This window comes from Homo sapiens, chromosome 2, assembly GCF_000001405.40.
Source record: "Homo sapiens chromosome 2, GRCh38.p14 Primary Assembly".
NCBI lineage: Eukaryota > Metazoa > Chordata > Mammalia > Primates > Hominidae > Homo > Homo sapiens.
Genome location: NC_000002.12, coordinates 209,514,767 through 209,537,495, shown reverse-complemented (window position 1 = coordinate 209,537,495; position 22,729 = coordinate 209,514,767). Strand labels below are relative to the sequence as shown.

General features: G+C 35.2%; 1 protein-coding gene across 35 annotated transcripts in view, besides 1 other annotated feature; it reads right to left on the bottom strand.

Annotated features, from left to right (window-relative positions):
* The window catches only part of MAP2 (microtubule associated protein 2), a 310,066-nt gene that overhangs the window by 196,617 nt on the left and 90,720 nt on the right, over positions 1 to 22,729 (bottom strand). The gene's annotated exons all lie outside the window — the stretch shown is intronic.
* Positions 17,720 to 18,405: an enhancer, noted in NCBI's record as "OCT4-NANOG hESC enhancer chr2:210383815-210384500 (GRCh37/hg19 assembly coordinates)". NCBI's record gives its function as "activates a minimal SCP1, AML or CMV promoter by ChIP-STARR-seq in naive and primed H9 embryonic stem cells {active_cell/tissue: H9 hESC(naive and primed)}" and the evidence as "EXISTENCE:reporter gene assay evidence [ECO:0000049][PMID:30033119]".

Below are 22,729 nucleotides of genomic sequence, written 5' to 3'. Positions count from 1 at the left end.
TTCATTAGGATTGGATGAAAGTTTCTGGTGCATTTAACCATTTTACCTAAATGTAGTCTCAGTACAGAAACTGAATTTTTAATTTTTTTCTTAATTATGCTAGTTGCCTTATTGATTTGCACATAAACCTATCCAGGTATAAATTAATTCAACTTATATGGAAAATTTATTGTGTGTTTCTTTCAGTGATTCTTGTAGTTTTGGGGGTCTCAAAATAATTACTATAGTAACATCAAAGATCACTGATCACAGATCACCATAACAGATACAAAAAATAATTTAAAAGTTTGAAATATCGTGAGAATTACCAAAATGTGACACAGAGACACAAAGTGAGCTTATGCTGTTGAAAAAATGGTGCTGACAGACTTGCTTAATATAAGTGTGCCACAGACCTTCAATGTCTAAAACATGCATTATCTGTGAAGCACAATAAAGCAAAAACAATAAAGCAAAGCACAACAAAATTAGGTATGCCTGTATACTCTTGGGCCACTTAGAAAAAAATCCTATAAAACACATGTCCCGCCACTGTGAGCTATCCTTACAGTATGTACACACATAATGAACATATTCAGTGAGGAAACACTGGTTCGATGCAACCCAATAGGATGGAAATTGAAACAAAGGGTGAAGATGAAAACTTCTGTCCTGGATAAACCTAAATTTATGTTCTGTCTGACCACTTAGTGCTTAGACATTTCACAGGTTTATGAAAAAAAATACTATCATATTTTAAAATTTCTTTAGATTAACAAGTAACTCAATTTAAGACACAAAGTGAGGCTCTGAAATAGCTTCATATTCTATTAGTTAAAATCATAGTTGGGGATCCACCATGTCTTGTCTCACCATCACCCAAGACACAGACAAGGCTTCTGTTCACCGGACTCTGGAACCATGTGAGAAGCTGCTGGATTCCACAGCACCCAATAAACAGCTCTCACTTGACTGACAAAGAGTTGCGTGGTGTGTGGAGGGCAGTTCCAAGGTCAACAAACAACATTTTGTTTGGAAGACTGCTGTGACTGAACAAGAGTCAAGAAAACTTTTTTTCTTTCAAGCTATTTGTAGTATAAAGAAGCTGGGTAACAGTATACATTTCTGAGCAAAATTTACCTTTCTCTCTACCTGGGCTCAAGCCCAAAATGAAGCATAGAGATAAATCTGTACAGTCTTTGGTAGGCACTATACTGATAGCTGGAACAATAATAATAATATGACAGTGTTACATCATTTTGCTTATTATTTTATATTTGCATATGTCATAAATAACTGAAATATACTTGAAAACACCTAGTCCAGCTTATGGCACAGATCAGGTTATTAAATGTTTAGGAGAATAAACATTTAACAAACATTTAAACAAATGCTGTCTCACTCTGAGATAGTGCTGAAATAAAAAGCATAATAGTTAAAATACCAATTTATTTTATTTTATTTGTATCCATAATCTGTCTCATTCTAAGAAAGTTTTGAAGAACCTAACTTTCTGTTTCTTAGTATAAAATTCATTCTAGGTTTACAACTGTATTATGAAATATTTGTATAATTATTCAGTAAGCTACAATGAATGGAGCAAAGACCTATTTAATACCAATTCAGTTACTATATTATATAAGAGGTCAGCTTATAGGAGAAGACAATGAGGAACAGCAAATGATAAATAAAATTTTATATTATATTGGCTTTTGTATTATTTTAATCAAATGATTATATTTAATTTGGTGTAACTGAAAAATAAACCTCGAAAAATACCTACAACATAGTATTATTTATTACAAGTTTAATTCTGGCTTTGTAATTTATTAATGGAGTCTAAAACTACAAACCTCCTCAAAATGGATTGACCCTACTGTTTTCTAATTGTTTGTTTTAAAGCTTACTTTTATTTCACAGCCATTGATCAGCTTTCTTCTGCAGAAAAAAAAAAAAAAGACACTTTGCCAGACTGCAAGGGAAGGCTTCACTGAACCATGCATTCATGGCTGAAAATATATTTATGAGAGACGAAAAGATGCTAAGGAGAACATGGACATCTCTGAAGTAGTGAAAAGTGTTCTTAAAGCTTTGCAGGGATCAAAGACCTGTCTACCACAATGTGCAAAATTTATAATTCTAAGTGATCCTTGGAAATGTTATGGTTATGCGGTGAAGTTGTCCAGGATAAGTAGGGAAGCACCTGTTATCGGCATCAAGGGTGTGAACCCTTAGAAAAAATAAAATACAAAGAACAAATTGAGCACATGACACAACTTGGATGAATCTTGAAAACACGTTAGCTGAAAGAATCCAGTCACCAATGTTCACATATTATATCATTCCATTTATATAAATATCCAGAATAGACAAATCTATAGAGACAGAAAGTAGATTACTAGTTGCTTCAGACTGGGGTGGGAGAGAGGAGAAGGGAGGACATGAAAGGGTGGGGAGGTAGTAGCCAGAGGACACTATGGGATTTCTTTCTGAAGTAATGAAAATATTCTAAAATTGACTGTGGCAATGGTGCACATATCTGTTAATATACTAAAAACCACTGGATTTTATAATTCAAATGAGTGAATTATATGGTATATGAATTATATCCCAATAAAGCTGTTAAAAAATGCACGTATTCCATTTTTGGGATGATGGCAGGCAGGGTACATGACCTTGAAATTTCATGTTTCATGAGTATTTCTTCATGTCCTTGCAGACTAACTTTAAAACTCCTGCTATTTCAGAGCAGTGATTCAGTTAAATTTTGAATTGTAACTCTTGTAGAAATTGTGACAATTGAGATATTCTGATTATATAATTCTATGTTCTATGTGAATAAAACTGAAGTCCAGCTTAATTAAAAGAAAAAATGTTGACAGACTCAAGAGCTTGGAATACTTCTAAGTCAGAAGTTAGTTTGAATATTTGACATATTTATAGACCAGGTTTACACAGAGCAATTTAGAAGGGGTAAGCAATGCTACCTTGGTACAATAATTTGAAAACCTCCAGAAATTACTGCCTCCCACCCACCCCCGTACACAACAGTTTCCTCCAGTAGGTTAGACTACTACCATAACCCCCTGGCAAATGACTAAATCACAGACCACATGGCAGCGAAGAGTAAGAACTAGAATGAGACAATCACTGAGCTGGAATTCCTATTTCTCTATTTATCCAAGTGGCCTTGGGCAAAACCATCAACTTCTCTTAACTCTGACTCTTTATCTGTAAAATGGATATCCCAACAGTAACCAACTTGTTGTAAGGGCTAAACAAGATAACACCAGGAGATAGATTAGCCAGTGCTGGACACATACTCAAGAAATGTTGGCTGTTATTAATGGCAAACTAACAAAAGGTCTCACATCAATTACTTGCAGGGCTCAGGAATAATCAAGTTGGTCTATGCTTGAAGGTGGAGGTTCTGAGCACTTTGGCAGGTCTTGGTATTTTGCATAGCCCTTTGGGGTAGCCAGGCTGCTGGACGGCCCTTTGAAGCCAGGTCTCTTGGGATGCCCTAGTTCCTTCAGCCAGCACTCAACTCCCATTCCCTCCAACTGGGTGTGGTCCCTGCTCTCACTCTCCTTGTGTTAATAAAATTCATGGAAAGACCTATCTTTTGCTTTGTCAACTCTCTTACCTAGACCGGCTCCCCTTACCCCTGTCTCAACCTAGTTCTCCCAGGAATGGTTTTGATCTTCAAGCACCTCTCCTGTCCTCTTTGAGGGTGGCATCACATCGATGTCCCTAACACAAACAGATTTAGATCCTCACTGAATCCCTAGAACGAGACAATTCTGTATATCTGAACCAGAAGCATAAGTATGCCTTGAGCATAAACATGGCTTTTGTTTCAAAGAGCTGTATCCTATTAAAAAATAAATCCTCATGTCTTAGAAATTTTTCATACAACAAAAGGCTGAAAGGAAATTTGCCAAAATGCATACTGTAGCTGCATCTGGATGTAGAATCACGGGATCTGTATTTCTTTCTGTTTCTTTACACTGTTCTGTACTTTCTAAAATGTTTGTACTGAAAACAGAGCAATTAGGAAACCAGAAAAAACAATATTTAAAAACATGGCTTGCCTGTAATCCCAGCATTTTGGGAGGCCAAGGCAGGCGGATCACCTGAGGTCAGGAATTCGAGACCAGCCTGGCCAACAGGGTGAAACCCCATCTTTACTAAAAATACAAAAATTAGCCAGATGTGGTGGTGGGTGCCTGTAATCCCAGCTACTTGGGAGGCTCAGGCAGGAGAATCGCTTGAACCTGGGAGGCGGAGGTTGCAGTGAGCTGAGACCATGCCATTGCACTCCAGCCTGGGTGATGAGCGAAACCCCATCTCAAAAATAAAAAATAAAAATAAATTATAAAATAAAAATAATAAAAACATACCTTGGCTTGGGAAATGGGGGCAGTAGAGAAGAATAATGAGAAAGTAAAATCGCACTTATTTTTCAAGGCTTGGTTTTGAAGTGGTACAAAGGGGAAATGCAGTGCGGACCACTTGAAGAAAAAAGAAAAGGTCTGAAAGGGAGAATGCTTCTGTCAGGGGAGCAGGGAGGAGTGGGCAAATCCCAGCTATTTCATGAGTTCACCAGAGAGCAGGCTAAGCCTAGTTTTTAAGATACATGAAAATCACCACTGAGTTCACTGGTGAAAAATTCATCAAATTTGTTGGCTAATTAAAATAATCAACCAATTAAATCAAAATGGGAAATGCAAATAGCCTGTACAACTAGTCCACATTGATTTCTGTGCAGAGGAACAGGAGGTTATTTTGTGGTCTTGAGTTCTAAGAGGCCAGCTTTAAAAGGAGAGAGAGACTTAGTGGGACAACACTAAAGGCAGGGTCATCGAAACACGGCCAGTTCCACATTTAGGAATCTGTGAGATTAGGCACATAGGCATCATAGTATACTTTAGAGGGCAGGCACTGGATTTCAGACTGTCTCAACTTGAATCCAGTCCCAGCCAGCTGTAAGCTATGAGACCCTGGGGAAATTGTTTAACTTGACTCAATCTCAGTTACATCATCTTTAAAATAGGGATAACAATATTACCTAGTTTTTGGAACTGCTAAAGGATTCAATGAAATAACACATGGTAAGGGCTTAACACTTAGCATTAGGCATGTGATAAAGAAAATGAGGATGATGAAGAAGAGTTTATGTGAAATAAATAGATCCTAGAACATATAAGAGCTGAAGTCCTCTTTTCATTTTCATTTTTTTCTTCCTCCTTCTCTTCTTTTTTTTTTTTTTTTTTCCTGAGACTGGCTCTCCCTCTGTCACCTAGGCTGGTGTGTAGTGATGCTATCACAGCTCACTGCAGCCTCCACCTCCCAGACTCAAGTGATCCTCCTGCTTCAGCCTCCTGAGTAGTTGGGACTACAAACACAGCTACCATGCCTAGCTAATTTTTTTAGTTTTTGTAGAGATGAGGTCTCACTATATTGCCCAAGCTGGTCTCAAAATCTTGGACTCACGCAATCCTGCCACCTCAGCCTCCCAGAGTGCTGGGATTTCAGGCGTGAGCCACCATGCCTAGCTGAAGTCCTATTTTCTAGTTAGTCAAAGTGAGGAAACAAATCAACATTTATATTATAGTATTTTAGAAAACATTATTTAAAGACACCTTTTCTCAATAAGATCCTTCCCTTAGGAGTCTAAGATTGGTTGCATAAGAGCACCCTAATTTGGTCAATGCCCAATACCATTTGTACCTGAATAATTAAGCTCACTTAAATTTCACATTAAAAATAGAAAGAGGAATTGCCTGTAAAAGTAGCTTATATCAGCAATCTATATATTACAAACATCATTATTTGAATTTCAAAATTCAATTAACATAACAGATTTCTAAAACTATTGTAAAGTACACAGACAAATAAGTCATATTAGCCAAAGATTAAATAACTCAAGGGTATTGAAGGTAAATTTTCCTCAACTTCTGACTCATTATTCTCAAAGTTGACATGCATAAATTTGGCAAACACACATTTAATTATTTTATAACTTGTTTTATGAAAGTCTGATTCAGGCTCATAAAAAAAGTGTTTGTATTTTCTCTACTCTAGCAATCAAATGTAATAACCACTAAATGGCATTACACATGCTTTCTCAAATTAAATGGCTTTAGAAGGCTATGCTATTAAATAATGAGGAAAAATTTCTGCATGATAAAGAGTAGATATTTGACGACATGGAATACAGACAAAACAAGCCCACAACATGAGGACAGTCAGGTGCAATAAGAACTTAGAAATAAAGAGAAGGACATTATCTTTTCTTTCCTCTTTCATTTCTTTTTCTCTTTCTTTTTTCTTATGAAGAAAAAATACTATTTGGAATATCCCATCTATCATGTCACTGAATTTGCTCAATAAAAATGTTGGCCACTAATCAGAAATTAAACATAGCAAAGGCATGAGATGGCTTTAAATAGTCTACAAATGATAAAAACATTTCACAGCATTGGCGAAAATAGTGGACTTTGTATTTGTATTTCATTCATTCAATCAGCAGCTAAATATACTGTTTGTAACATGGAGGATCTAAAGATGAATGAAACAAATTGAATACTGTGCTAATAAATACTGAGAAGCAACTAGGAAACAGAACAATATGGGAGAAAAGACACATTTTGCAACCCAACAGACATGGGTCAAAATTCAACCCTATTTGTTATTATCTATGTGACCTGGAGCAAATTAATCAATTCTAATTCTCAGACTCTTCAACCATAAAAAAGGTGAATACCTCTATTACTGGATGCTTATAAAGAAAAAAATGAAAATATATATCAAGAACCTTGTATGCTGCCAGGAACTTCATAAATATTTGTTCTCTTATAAATACAAATTACTAGAATTTATGATTTAATTCAAGCTGAGAAAAATACACATCCTCATGAATAGCAGACAACTTTAAAATCTCAAATTAAATAATCTGCAAGAGATTTTAATTTCCTGTCTATATTTGTCCTATAATCATGTAACTGAACAGTGAACATTCACTGCAACCCTAATAATCTGTACTTCCTCCTCTGATTAACAAAATAAATAGGGCTAATTCTCATGCAGCAGAAGCCAAAAACTGTCCTTCATTATCAATTCTCTCCTTCTTCTTAAGTAAAAGAATCCTCAAATGTTAGTTGGGCACATGTTTATTTTTAATAATGACTACATATCATCTATATAGCAAAGTACGATGAAATAACTAAGGTCTGGTGGGATGTGAGAACAAGAAGTATATGTGACTAGTCAGAAATGTGTGTAAAGGGAGAGGTCATGCCCATCTCTGCATTTCTCCCTCCTGCTATCTGGGATGCATATGTGATAAGACAGTGGGGGCAGAAGCAGCCATCTTGGAAACAAAATGGAAGTTGCATGTTGAGGACAGCAGGGCAAAAATACAGAGAGCATCTGGGTCCCTGATGATAATGGAGCACTATGTTAAACTTGAGTTGGCTTAAGTTACTGTTATTTTAAATTTTTTGTAATTCTTCCCCATGTGGTCAAAATTAAATATACCTAAGGAAAACTCTGCTCTCAATACTCATAGAATTATTGAGTTTGTTTCTCCTCTACAATCATTAATGGGCGGGCGGGTGGGGAAGAAGAAAGAAAAGAAAGAACAAAATGTTGGGCTATAACAAATGACTTCAGCAGTCAAGACGTGAGTAATTGGTCTAGGACAGATGGGAGTACAATTAAAGGTTATGGCTAAAATGAGAAATAAATAGCTTATAGGTACTTAGTGACATATGTATTTGCTCAAAGTATTTATTGCTTCTCTATGGACCATTTTTCATCTTGCTGATGCCCTTTAGTGAATGATGAATCTGCTTGCCTCCCACTTATTTTAGATTGAATTCTATTTTTAGAATAATTATAAAGGGATTTTAGGAGACCTGGTGTCATTATAAGACTGGATATGTTAATAAGTAACATTTGTGATAATCAGACCCATATATTTTTTCTTGAAGAGTTGCTTTAATGGACTAAACAGTAACATCGATGATTTCCATAGGAGATATATGCTTTTCTCACTTACACCCAGCAATGTTCCTCATCTGACAGGTTCAGTTACCATCTCTTCATCAAATCACACATACAGTTGTTTGTTAAGAAGTTTACTTATTCATGTTAATTGACGTACAATGCATTAACTATAAGTCGGTTTTGACTGAATGCCTTGCTAATTTATAATCTTGACAACAATAGAGTTTGTCTTCCTAAACTTGCTTACTTCCTTTCAAAATGGAATGCCCTTGTTGCTCTAACATTGCAAGCAAGGAAGCTTTAGTGTCCTCTCCACCACATTTGATAACTGTTGCTGCTTCATCCACACCACCATTTTTTTTCCTAACTAAAATCCTTGTCAGTTCTAATGTGTACTATAGCAAACTCCATTTGAGAGACAAATAGCACCTCCTTATTCTTAGTTCAGACTCAAAGTTCTTAAGGAACTATAATGAATTGGTCTTCCCCAGAGAAAAAGGCTAGATATGTGATTAGGCTTTTTAAAATGTGAAAAAATGATTGAGGATATATGTATATGTACATATGTATGTATATATATGTATGTGTGTATATATGTGTGTATATATATGTATATACACACATATATACATATACACACACATATACACACACACATATATATACATACATATGTACATATACATATATACATACATATGTACATGTACATATATACATACATATGTACATATACATATATACATACATATGTACATATATACATGTATATTTATGTACATATACATGTATATATATATAGTCCTAAGATGACATGGGCTCAGCTATTCTTCCAGGTCCTCTTTTGAGAAAGAACCCAAGTTCTGATGCTCTTTCAGCTACAGTGAAAGGTCTGGGGACTAGAAGTCAAGCATTCAAAAGGCTGAACTGTCAATATGTTAACCAAATTATAATCAAGTTAAGAATGAAATGTGGCAACTGAAATATTTTCCCATAAATGACAGAAGTGGTTTTAATAAAAAAGCAAATATAACATTATATTGCTATTTTATAAATTAAAGCAGATTTAGTACATAAAAATTTTAAAGTGAGGAACCATTCCTATCTTTCTCTAAAACAGAATTACATAGAATTTCCAAGAAAGAAGACTATATAATATCTACGTAATATTTCCCATTCTAAAGAAGTTTAATTTTTAGCTTTACATACAATTACTGATTTTGAGTATTTGTCCTGAAGAGCTGTGGCTCACCTACAACAGGTTCTAGGGTTGAATTTATACATATACCATGTGGGAAGTTTGGGGGGATGAAGGAGGTAGGTATACACTTAAAAATAAATGGGAATTACAGCCCAGTCTTCTAGAAACTTGAATTTGCATATTTTCTGGGGTGGGCAGGGGGGGAAGATGGCTTCTACCTTGCAAGATTCTACAGGGACATATAATCTATGCCTACCATGCCCATAATTTAATAAATAAATGTTAAGCCCCTGCATTAATTTAGAGAGAGAACTTCGTATAATATGAATCTTTTTGGATCTCCTGAAGAAATATGCCCAGAGAAATTACAGGGATTTTGAAAAGTTAAAAACAAAGCCAGGAGGCAATCTATGTCTTCTCACTGGTTCTCAAACTTCAGCATCAGAATTACTTGGAAGACTTGACAAAACGCAGGTTACCGAGCTGCAGCCACACATTTCTGATTCACTAGGTCTGGGGTGGAGCCCAAAGATTTACATTTCTAACAAGTACCCATGTGATGCTGATGGTGCTGGTTCAGGGGACACTCTGAGAACCACTGTCCTTCATGAAGGAAGGGCATAAAGAAGCCAAATCAGGAGCTCAGCTCTCACCTCTAAGAGGGCACAGCCACACATGGTGTCACACTAAGCACCTGAGAAAGATCCATAAGAGATGGTTCCTTAATCAAGTATGTAACCTCATTGTTGTGAAGAAAGCTGCTAGTGGGATGGGAATTGTGGGATGTGGTGAGAAAGAAGAGAGGCGGAGTACACGGCTGCGAGGGGAAGACCAGACAACAGTAGGCATCGGTGTATGCGTGAAAATAGTGACTAAATTCATATTCATTGAACAGATATTATTGAGCAACTATGATGTGCCAAAAACTTGGCTAGATGTTAGGGACTCATCAGTGATCAAAACAGAAAATGTTCCTGCTCTATGAACATTCTAGTTAGGTGAAACAATAATTAATTGTACAAAAAAATATATCAGATATATCAGTAATATAGAAATGCTATGGAGAAAAATACAGGGTAGAGTAAGTGAGGATTAAGTGTTCTTTTTTATTTCTACACAGGGTGATACAGGAACGATGTCCACCAGATATCACACTAAGAACTGCCACAAGAAAATGAGACAATTCTAATGTGTAACTTTGCAATCACTTTTCTCCCAGATGCCAGGATTAGTATAAAGAGCTCCAGATAGTGAGGGTGCAGAATTCATAAAAGTCCATCTGCCTGGAGCTCTGTCCTATTCATATATTCACAAGTCTCCTGGTTTAATTAAGTAAATCTGGGAGAGAAGAAAAAGTATTTGTTGGTTTTGTAGTCAGTCAGCTTTACAGATTCCCCACTATATTCCATCATAGATCTGCCATGGATGATCAAGCTTAGGAAAGACATTTGTACATCTTATATCTCAGGTATGAAATGAAACTTTTCTAACACATGACCATCATCAGAAAACAGGGATGCCGTTAGATTTAGTTACAGTTCTTATTATAGCAGCACTTCCTTCTTTCACTTTCAGGGTGGCAAAAAATAGGACTTAGGTCAGCTAATACTTCTGCAAGGATCTAGTATGAAGATAATCTAGTTAGAAGACACTGTTTGGTTAGTTTTCAATGATCCAAGGAAAGATTTGCCCCAGGGAGAATCCTTGCTCTTTTAAATTTATAAATGCATATATCCTAAGCAAATACTCACGTATTTTACCCAAATAAATCTAGAGTGCTCTTTAAAAAAAAAAGAAAGAAAAAAATAAAGAAACAAACCAAAAAACGAAAGCCTGAGAAAGGTCTCTCAGCCTCCCCCTTCTGTATTTCTCTCTATGTACTCACATGTGGATATTAATTTTATATTCTTTAAATTGGATTTCCCTCCACTTCCAGAATTCTCAGGCACTCAGACATTTAGTGAAATATGCTATTTGCTTTTGTATATTATTACTATTTAAACTCTTAATTTTCTGCATTTTCATGAGGTCACTTCCTAGACTCCTAGTTTCCTCTTTTAAACCACAGCTGCCTCAAGCTGACTATGCTCAAAAGAATAGGACTTATGAAAAAAGTAGGCATTGCTAATCCACTGCTAGTTGAAAATACTTTCTGAATTATCAGACCTTCTGTAAAAAGCCCATGATATGCTTCATTATGTAAACAAACCTCCTCTGTGTTGCTTTTTAAGCTTGAAAATATCAAAATCATGACATAACATGAGAAGAATTCCATTTTGACAAAATGAAAAACACAAAAATTCTTCTACCCAGAAAAAAAAGAAACAGAATGTAATGGGGGAAAATAAATGCAAAAATAGAATTGGCTAGAAACCAGCAACCACAAGAAAAGAAATATGACAGGAAATGGAACTAATCAGTTACTATAGTGAAGAGTTTTTTCCCCAGACTTTCTTAGGAGAAAAAGAGAAATTCTAAAGAAATGTAGAAACTAAGAGTTTGGACAAAGTTATTTATATAATCTTGAACTATACAAAATTCCCTGAGAATGTATATGTTTTTTGAAAGGACAATGGAGTTTTTATTTAGCGGAATTTTGAAAGTTTATCTTCTTTGGGATTCTTTTGGTAAAGCTTTAGTTAGAAGGGTTGGAACTTTTGAGGAGTAATTTCTATATAACTACACTATGATATCTTTTTCCAGAGGCAGAATTATCTTCCTTTCTAATTCAAGGCCACTCGAAGGCTTAGTCCATGCAGGAATGGGCTTGCTTTGTCAGAACCCTCTTCAGCTCAGCAACAGACATTGCCAACAGATTAGCCTTCCGTGAATAACAATTCTTCATACACTGGAAAATTTTTCACATGAAAATTGCTCCTTTGGGTTATTCTCCCATTACAACTTACTTTTATTATTGGGTTATTTTGGTATAGACTATATCAAGTTTTTTAGCTGTTTTATGCCTAGATAAAATTAGAAGACGTCATTTCTAAATATAGATATGAAAAATTAATCTCTATATTAAAAACAAATTTAGAAATAATTGTCATTTATTTGCTAGTTGTTTTGTGACTCTAAGTTTTAAAAAAATTAGTAGCTAATTCACTTAACAAAAGTCATTTCCAAAATGTTTGACAACCTCTGAGCATGTCTACAGAGATGGTAGATACAGAATAGTCTTTATTTAATTTCTAATATCCTACTGGAAAAATATGGATAAAAGCTAGAACGTATATTAAAAATAATACGGCTCATCTCCATTTAATTTATATACAAGAAAACCCAGGTCTCAAGATTTGAATTTCCTTATTCAAGGTAACACAGCTGCTTAGCAGACGAGACAAAAATTGAAACCAGGTCTCTGGATCCCAAGGGACACTGATGGTCCCTAATTATCATGGGGTAAGAGAGATCCACCAACAACCAAATAACAAACACAACAGGTAATGAATTGAAAAAAAAATTGATATTAACTTTTTTCACACCCTTTGTAATCCATAGAAGCTTATTCATAAATAAATTAGTGAATGTCTTGTGATTCAATTGAACCAACATTTCCCAGTGTTCAGGCAAGACAGAAAGACTGAAAAGAGGATGAATGATGAAAAGGTTCCTGAGTCAAAGTAATTTATTGAATTTTTCTTTTTCCAGCTCTATTATTTTACACATATAATAATGAAAGTTGATGAATGTATACTTTATGCAAGTGTGTTACATATATTACCTGGTAACATATTATATTGTATAGTGTATTGCATGTATTACCTTATTTATTTCCTTTTATTGCTATTATCTTAATGTTTAATCTCATGTTTCGAGGCTACTAACATAGCAATTATCATAAAGCTAACAGCCAGCATTTGAAACCAAATCTAAATGATTCCAATGTATATCTCTATCCAGTGAATTATATTGCTTAATTGTTGAAAACTCTCCCTGACTCTGGATTATGTGTGTTAAAAATAAAAAAAAGAAAAAAAAGAAAAAGACTAAAGAAACTACTTCTGCCTGTTGAAAAAAATCATATTTCTAAAATTAGATACAAATAACTATTAAAATTGATTCTAAATTGGGATAAATAAGATAAACAGGACTTTCAAAATGAATGCCTTTATGCATCACTGAGCATCTAAAATGCCTTCTCAAGGTTTCCATGCCAACCTTTCTAGAATGCTAAAATAAGCTGTGAAACAACATTTACTCATACCACAATATGTAGTTTTTGATGCACTAAATTGTTTCGCTGCATTTAATAAAAAAAAAAGCTCAAATAAATTTTGAGTATTTAGCAAATGGGGGAAGTAAAAATGGTACCAGTCATCAGTGAGCAGGCAAACAATGTAACTTTTGTTTGTCTAAATGAGACAAGCCTTAAGAAGGACTTAAACGGAACTTTTCATTTCTGCTAACATCCTTTTTATGTATATCCATAGTTAGTCATCGCTTTTCAAAATAGAGTTTTATAAAAGTTATGTTTAAATTATAAACAACACTAAGCACTTAACACTGAATATATAAAAGACAAATTTGGAAATCTAGGGCACTTCAATCTTTGATTCGGACCACCTGGCAAGAGAAAAATAAATGAATAAAAAGCCAAATGGAGCTGAATAGGTCTCATGCAGTTTGAAGAGATTTCTTTTTACCTGTCAAGCTCCTTAAAAGTAAATATTGCAGTTTGACTGCTGAATTACGACAGGAGCCTCCAGTGGAGAAGCAGCAGCTCCTGCAGGCTGGAAGAGATGGGCAAGAGAAGGGCCTAGCATTTGGGTCCAGCCTCCAGCATGCAGAAGACGTAGGCTGAGGAGCTCAGACAGGGTGGTTAGAAAGGGAATACTCAGGACAGCAATAGAGAAGGGCACACAGGGCGCTGGAATAGTAACAGCAATCCAACAACAGCAATGAGAGTAAGAGTGAATGTGGGCAACATCATAAACACTAAAATTATATCAAGCAACGCACTAAGTTCCAGAAAGACAGTAATGACAAGCCATGTGTGGTCTCTGACTTCAACAACTAGGAATCTAATTAATCTTTAAAACATGTTGATTAGGGAGGGAGAATAAAGCGAAATGCCATGAGAGATTGCATTCGGGGTGTTATGGGAGTGCACAGTGAGGGCATCTCGCCCACTGTAGGAAAGACGGCTCTGAGTAACTGAGGTCTAAGCATTCACTCCTAACAGAAAAAAACATGGAGAATAAAAGGAGGAGAGATGGCAGGAAATAAGGCTGAAGAACCATTTACTGACTTAACTAATTTAAGCTGAATGCAAATGTCAGATTTTAATTTGTCCCTTACCAGGTTTTTAAGTATGTAATACATCATATCTAAAGACCAATATTGGCAACCATAAACAGGAAAAGACAACTGTAAATTTATTAGAGTCACAACTACACTTACTCCACCACCAATAATTGTGGGCTTCAATGAGTTAGTTGACATCTCTTTGATTCAGTGCTCTGGGTTTTCTATGTAAGTTGTAACAGTTTGAATGCAACCGTTTTGTTACTGAGGGAGCAGCATCAACTGATACTTTCCCTGAATGAAGAAAATTTAAGATTTTACCAAAGGTAAATAAACAAAAACAAAAACAAAAACTTCCATATGGAGCTTTAAATAAATTTCCTGGATTGAGGTCTTAGGCCACGTCCTTACAACTGCAGAGACCTACAAGTGCAGGCCTCTTACATATATTAATTATTTTGAAACTTTTTTCATATATGGATTTGAACTCTCAATCAGAAATACAATGCTTGATTATACAGCACTTTCAAAAGTTATTTTTAAAAATTATTTGTCACAAACATTTCTTGAAACATCATATAAGAAGGGGCAATATTTTCCTCAACCTGAGGTTTATGACTTGTCAACTACTTCAATATGATTTAGGTCTCTCTTATCCCAACCTGCAAGACTTCTTCCAAATCATTTTATTTTCCTGCATCTATGATACTCTAGTTTTTAGAGTTCAAAATGCTGTTTTGTGACAGGTGCCATTGGTTTTGCATTAGCCATATTTACAGGGCTCTGCCTTGATTCAGAAGTGTATGGCCATGGCTTTCTAATCTGATTAGCTCCTTGGAATTTATATTACTGTCTTTACTGAATATATTTTTCTCATTTCACAGCTGAGATCTAGCTGGTGGAAAAAAAAAAGGAGGCCCATCAATCCTAATGGGGCACTGGTTTAAATGATGCTGACTCTTGTTCTATATCCAGTATGAGAAGCAGCTCGACACAGGTCTTTGATGCTTCTTTAAAAGTGAATGAACAAATTCTCCCTCATTTGAATTTTATTTATGAAAACAATACTTTCTGAACCAAAGCTCTAAAAATATGGCTTGTCAAAAGATTTTTCTGTGTAATTTATGATTTAATTAATATGAAGTCTTACAAAACTGAACTGAACTACACTGCTATGTATTTATAATTTTATTGAAAAAATAATACCATAGGAGCTTTAGTACCTATGAAAACAACAATTAAGGAATTTAGCAAACAGTTTCTCCTTTAAAACATGCTATAGAATGGACCATATAATGTGTTATTGATCACAAAATCCCAATCTCCTGGTATATCAGCTCAGATGGATCATGAATGTGCTTTTGATGTTATCTTTGAGAGGCATAGGGGCCCAGCTGACAGAGTTCCAATATTGCAAAGTCTCTTAACTGTTCTTTCTCTGAAAAGTTAGAAGAGAAAGATATCAGTCCTAACAACCTAAAAAATTTTTTTTTTTTAAATAAGATTAAAGAGTTTACAAGAAGCAAGGAAGGAAGCATAAACACAGATAAAAAGGAGAGAAAAGGGTTACAATCCAATCAAACTCCTTTATGCCTGAAGAATAAGTTGAATCATATCCTAGTAATGACAAAAGAGGGGGTGGGGGAGGAAGGATTGGACAGGTGCTGCCACAAAACGACTTTTAAAAACCATCAATTGATGTATTTTGAAATTATTAATAAATGAGGTCAAATCATTTAGGAAATGATACATTATATTTTGGTGCATCATATTAGTGTGTTGTAAAGTACATGTATGTACGTAGAAGGCTGCTGCCACCTGAATAAAAGTGAGCAAGACTGTGTCTTTCTTGTTCTTTTCTAGCACACTTCTTGGCACGATGTGGTGCTCAAGAAAGCATTTGTTTAGTGAATAAATTATTCATTTAGAGTCATTTTACACATACTGGAAATAAGCTTAGCCTGCCTCAATACTATAAAGGAAATTATAAGAAGCTCTAAACCATACTTTGGGGGCAAATTGGCAAAAGGAGAGATTTTCAAAAGAAGAAAGATACTATGCATAACCTTTAATGTCATTGTCATTAACCAACATGGGGAGACCAACCAATGGTATTGCAAAAATACTGCCACATCTCCTAACATGATATTTAGCACAGTGTGTCATTCAAAAATTACTGCATGAGATGGGAGAGGCTAAAAATAAGTCAAATTAATACACAATAGAATTTAAAACTGTAAGTGCTTTATAGTAAGCAAAATATAATAGGGAGCAAAGTAAACAATACTGTGAGAAAATATCCTATGAAACAACCACCTTTTAATAAGCAAATGACCTCATGAAAGGGAAAAGAATTCATCTTGCTAAGGAATGGGCCTCAGAAGGTCTTAAGCGGCCTGAAGAATCTTCCCTTAAACACACACCCTTTTCATTAGAAATTAGGTCTTCATCTCAAAATTAATAAAAACAAAACAAAATAAAATAATATGAAATAATATTTCTGCTGGAAAGATTAAGCCCTTGTGACATTCTTTTCTCCTTGCACAGAGAACTAAAATTTGTGTAGGTAAAGGCTGCTGCTTCATTATTAGTCATTATTAGAATATCTTCCCTATTCCCTCTTTAGAATTCTAATTACATTCGCACACAAAAAAATATGCATTTTATGCTGTTCCTACTAAATTTTAAAGAGGCATTTTAGGAAAAAGTGTGAGGAAAAGAATGCTTTTATTAGAGCATATGGATTTAGCTGTGCATATGTATATATATTAAGAAATTAATCACTGGATATCTTATAGGGAAGCCTGTCTTTAGTAATCTCCTGATCTATTTATCATCAGCAGATGCTCACTCTGGGTGCAACCTAAGTGATTACTCCCAGAAATCTCATAATTGCAGTAATTAGGGTCATGTGACCTTCAGCTTGTTCCTGCTATAAAAAAGGATGGGGATGGGGAGGCAGATGGCCCACATTAACATTTGAATGAGCACTGAATGAGTAGTTGAGCAGTTTAAGTTAAATGCACCAGAAAGCTAGGATGTCCAGTCTGAAACACATTTCAAGTAGAAATTTAAGACCTTTTTTATATGATCCATTCTGCTCTCCACAAGGTCTGCCTTCCCTTGCAAAAGCCAAATATGAGCAGAACTACCCTCCAATAATTTACCCAACAATCAAGTTACTATGAGTGTGAAGGAGTAGTGATCATCTTACTTCAATCTTTCCATTTTAAGGCCTATTTGTTATTTGTTTTAGAATATACTGACAATATACTCAGGTAACCCAAAATATCCACTGACTACTTTTCTTAAAAAACAATTATTTCCTTCATTTTACACTGTAAGGACAAATATACCTCTTATTCAAATCTCTCTGCTGAAAACAAGGGTAGATAGAGACTGCTTTCTACCCTCCCTTTTCTTTTAGAATTTCTTTCTTTGTTCTTTGAGAATTTATGTAAATCTTAATGATGGCTAACTAAGCCTCCCATTAGCCTCACAACTCAGAAATGCTTTCTCAAGAACCTTGAGGCTATCTTTTTGAAATGCAAACATCAAGGGAGAAAGCTCCCCTATCTCCCAGTTCCTATGGGAGGGTAGGAGCCTAACTTCAGGGTTACCCTTGCTCCAAGTTGCAAAACTTCTTCCTGTCATAAAGGGATGAGAAATTTGTTTCTCCTCAGAGAAAGCCAATTAGCTAACACAGATGATCACCCCAATTACCTGAAGAATTTAGGATGGGGCTGTCAAGTCCTTTTACTTGAGGACTGGTTGTTGTTTATCTTGAAAGCATGTGTGTAATCCCACTCTTGGCTACATCTACTTGGCAATATAGAAAAGTGAGATTTCTTTTGGTTTTTATAATCTTAGTGGATTGCCTGTAATGTTCATCACATTCTGGTTTAATGCTTAATAGTAAAAGTGTTTTCTTTTTCTATTACTTTGGTGGAGGGGATTTCTGGGTTGGTATAAGATTTTGTTTTTAATTATATTCCCTCAACAATTTTGATTTTAATTAATCCGTCTCCCTGTAGTAGAGCCCTTTTAGATATTTAACAAAGGACTTAAACAGTAAAATTCCAAATTTCCCATCTGAAATTTAAATAAGGAGATAAAGTAGTTAATTTTACTATTTCATTTATCTTTAATTATAAACAAGCTTGGTAATATTAGTGCCAAAATAAAATAATTACAGACATCAAGAGGGTGAGTTGGAACATCTAGTTCCCATGTGTTCAGATATCAATGTTTATTTTTTTCTTTTCATAAAACCTACGACAAAAACAGACTTTCATTAAAGTGAGCTTTTGAAACAGACATTCACAGCAGTATATATCTATGTAACTATTCTGTGTGCATGAAGAGAGAATGAAAAATCTCATGATGAACTGGGTTTCTGCTTACAGTTAAAGAACAGATACACATACAAGTAATTCAACAAATATTTGTAGGGAAAAAAAGTGGAAGACTAAGAAAGAAGGAAGAAAAGAAGAGGCAGAATACAGATCCAAAGTAAAACTGTCCCGCACCCTCTGTTCAGGTTTCTCAACTTCTGAGTCCTCATTCCCTTATGCGTGCTTTGGTTTCCATAGACCCCTTTCAAGAAATGTCCTTCTTTCTGTACCTCTAACTCTCTATTGTGGCTATATAAATTCTATTTACCTATAAACCCAGCTGAAGATCCCTTTTAAAAAATTCAGCCCTTCAAAATCAATTATATCTTCTCTAGGTCACTCTACAAAGTTATATCTGTGCTTAGTATTTGATTGTATCATCATGTATTAATATTTATATGCATTAGTTTTCCCCTCTCTTGACTGTAAGCCATTGCAGAGCAAAGTAACCACTGTTAATACATTTAAAGCATTCACAGAATCTTGCTCTCAAATGAACTACAACTGGATCTTCACTACTTGATTTAATAATAACCACTCAGTTGTATTGGAACTGCACCTTCTCATGTAGGCTTACTACATGTGTGCCAAGATTTAATTCTGAAAGTACAGAGAATGATTTAGAGTATGATTTAGAAATATTATCATGTACAAATTCTCTTTCCCTGGTAAAAATACATGCCCATGAAACTATGAGATGAAAGAATGTAATCTGGTTTCCCAAAGGCTGGACCAGGCAAAAATGTGTTATCATCTAGGCTGTTTTACTTTTTGTTTTTTCTCTTATTTAAAAAAAAAATCTGTTTGGTTATCATTCACCTCATGGCTTGTATTTCTTTGTATATACTTTTCTATTTTTTGAGCATACTTCTTCCCCCATCTGCTTCCCTTGCCCTTCCACTCCATAAAGTGGTGTATTTCCACGTGGGGTCATGTTAGCTAATGACTAGGATTTCTATGTCCTAGTTAATGGTACATTGTTTGAATATCTATGTGGGATACCATTTATGGCTATGTCAAAATGATGAAATAAAGAGATACGTATCAAAAACTACAATAATGTGGGCTTTACGAGATAGATAACGAACTTGTAAAAACTATCTAAGCAATCCATGACATGTACATGAAGAAGATACTATGCTCAATCCAAAGAGAAACTGTTTAGTTTTCTGAAAGCAAAACCAAATCACATCACGTTTCAAACACTTTTTATGCCATCTGCTGGCATTGTGCCACACATTGTGGTGACAAAACACATGATATTTCTAAAAGTTTTCTTGTTAATTAATGAAGTACTTGATGTTTGCATCCTCTTTATATTTATGTAAAAGTGAAGAGTGTCCTTATTTTCTAAGCACAAAGTTAAAATAACTTTTGCCACTAGGTCTCTAACAGAGAACTTCAGTGATCACCAAAAAGAAAATTTTCAAAAACTATCTAAATATAAGAAAATCCAAAAATTAATACATATCTACTTAGTCCCTACAGTGAAAGAGGAACACAGCAGTTCCAGGTATGGCGGAAGAGGGAGGATGATGCCTGATAGAGAAACTTGGTAAATACCCTGTGGGGTATACATTTCCAGTAAATGCATAATCATTCAATAGCATACAATATTTTAAGGTGACATTAGTAATTATTAACATGGAAGATTATGTAATTTTTGTGTTGTACAACACTTGTATGAAATAGAAGAAAAGGTAATTTCACTCCATTGAAGTGCCTATGTAATAGCCTAACCTGAATATGTAAGTACGATTTCTCTCTGAGCATTAATTTCACCTAAGGAAATTAACTGCCTGCCAGTACACCCCTCTAACATACTACAATACTAATTTACATCTTAATTTCCAAACAGGTAGAAAACCCCAAGGGATACCCTAAGTGCACAAATCATCCCCCTGTGATAGTGTAGCCAGACAGTCTAAATTAGGTCTTCGAGTCTCTAAGGGATAATGGAAAGTCGAAGTGAAATTTAAAATGGTTTGCAACTATAAAGTTGCCTGTCAAGTTAAACGTCCTGCTCACTGACTCATTTTTACCCCATATTTCCAAAATTTAAATAAATTTTAAAGGAAGAAATTCCTATACCTTTATTTTCGGTAAGTTCCTTAACCCTTCCCTTTTTTTATTCCTGTTGTTTAACTGATTCTCCTCTATTGGTCTAATACTCCTTATGGCTGACTTAAAACCCCTTAAAGATGCCACCGTAGCTGTTTTTTAAAAAGTAGATCAGCTTATACTTGCACCTTAGTATTGTACCAGAGAGCTACTTCTGACAGAACACTAATAGAAGGCAATAGTTTTGAGGAAAAGGTGGAAAAAGTATATTCATTCTAGGTGAAGCATCTTTAAGCAAATGACATCAAGCCCACTCTCTTTATCATTCTGAAGATCAATATCTTATAGTTTAAGCCATCACTAAATGATGTATATCATAGGCAAGTAGTTACATTTAGATAAATGTGTATTTTTCTACTTACTGTTATTCCATAAGAGACTTTTCTGTATTTCTAAGAACTAACATACTTCACAGAGGAATACTCTGTTTATAAACATTCTATCCGGGCCAGGTGCAGTGGCTCACGCCTGTAATCTCAGCACTTTGAGAGGCTGAGGTGGGAGGATTGCGTGAGCCCAGGAGCTTGAGACCAGCCTAGGCAACATAATGAGACCCCATCTTTGCAAAAAATAAAAGAAAAAAAATTTAGCTTGGCATAGTGGTGTGCACCTGTGGCCCCAGCTACTCAGGAGTCTAAGGCAAGAAGGATCACTTGAGCTGGGTAGGTTAAGGCTGCAGTGAGCCATGATCACACTACTGTACTTTAGCCTGGGTGACAGAATAAGACTCTGTCTCTACATAAATAAATGAAATAAAAATAAAAATTGTTTCTGGTTTAATGACTAAGTTTCTCGATTCATAAAATGAAGACAATAGTACTTAAAGTTCCAAATACCTACTGATATGGTTTGCCTCTGTGTCCCCACCCAAATCTTACCTCAAATTTTAATCTCCACATGTCAGGGGAGGGACCAGGTGGGAGGTCATTGAATCATGGGCGCGGTTTCTCCCATGCTGTTTTCATGATAGTGAGTGAGTTCTCATAAGAGCTGATGGTTTTAAAGTGAGGCACTTCATCGTGCTCGCACATACTCCCTCCTGCCACCTTGTGAAGAAGGTGAAGAAAGTGCCTGCTTCCGCTTGCACCATGATTGTGTTTCCTGGGGCCTCCCCAGCCATGCAGAACTGTAAGTCAATTAAACCTCTTTTCCTTATAAATTACCCAACTTCAGGAAAGTTCTTCATAGCAGTGTGAAAATGGACTAATACACTTATTAATATTCAAAAAGTAATGTACTAAGTGATCACTTGCTCTAGTTTTGAACTACAAACTTTGGCAGGTATAAAACTTTAGATAAATGAGAGAGAGAAAGAAGATAGACACAGATGTACTCATATAATGCATTCAGTGTTTTCTTTACTCAACTCTTCACTAATTAGATTTGAAATGGTCGAAAGAAAGAAAATGAAGACTGTAAAGCAACACAAAGTTGATAACCGTAAGACACTGAATAATATGGAATGAAACCTAATCCATGTCGGTTTGTTATGGCAAATGATTTTTCAACTAACATTTTTATATTATTAATAACTGGGAGAGTTTAGTTCAGAAAAGGCACATAATTTTACCCTCTTCAACATGAATGACTCAGAAGGCATTCCTAAAAGTAAAGCCCTTGTATTGTGCATTGGCAAAATTATTTGAAACCATCATGACTATCCATTTATCTATCTATCACATGTGTGTATTGTATGTCATATTCCTTTTTCTAATACACAATGGATACTTTTCTATTCTCAGGTGAATAACTGATGAAGCTTAACAAGTCTCAC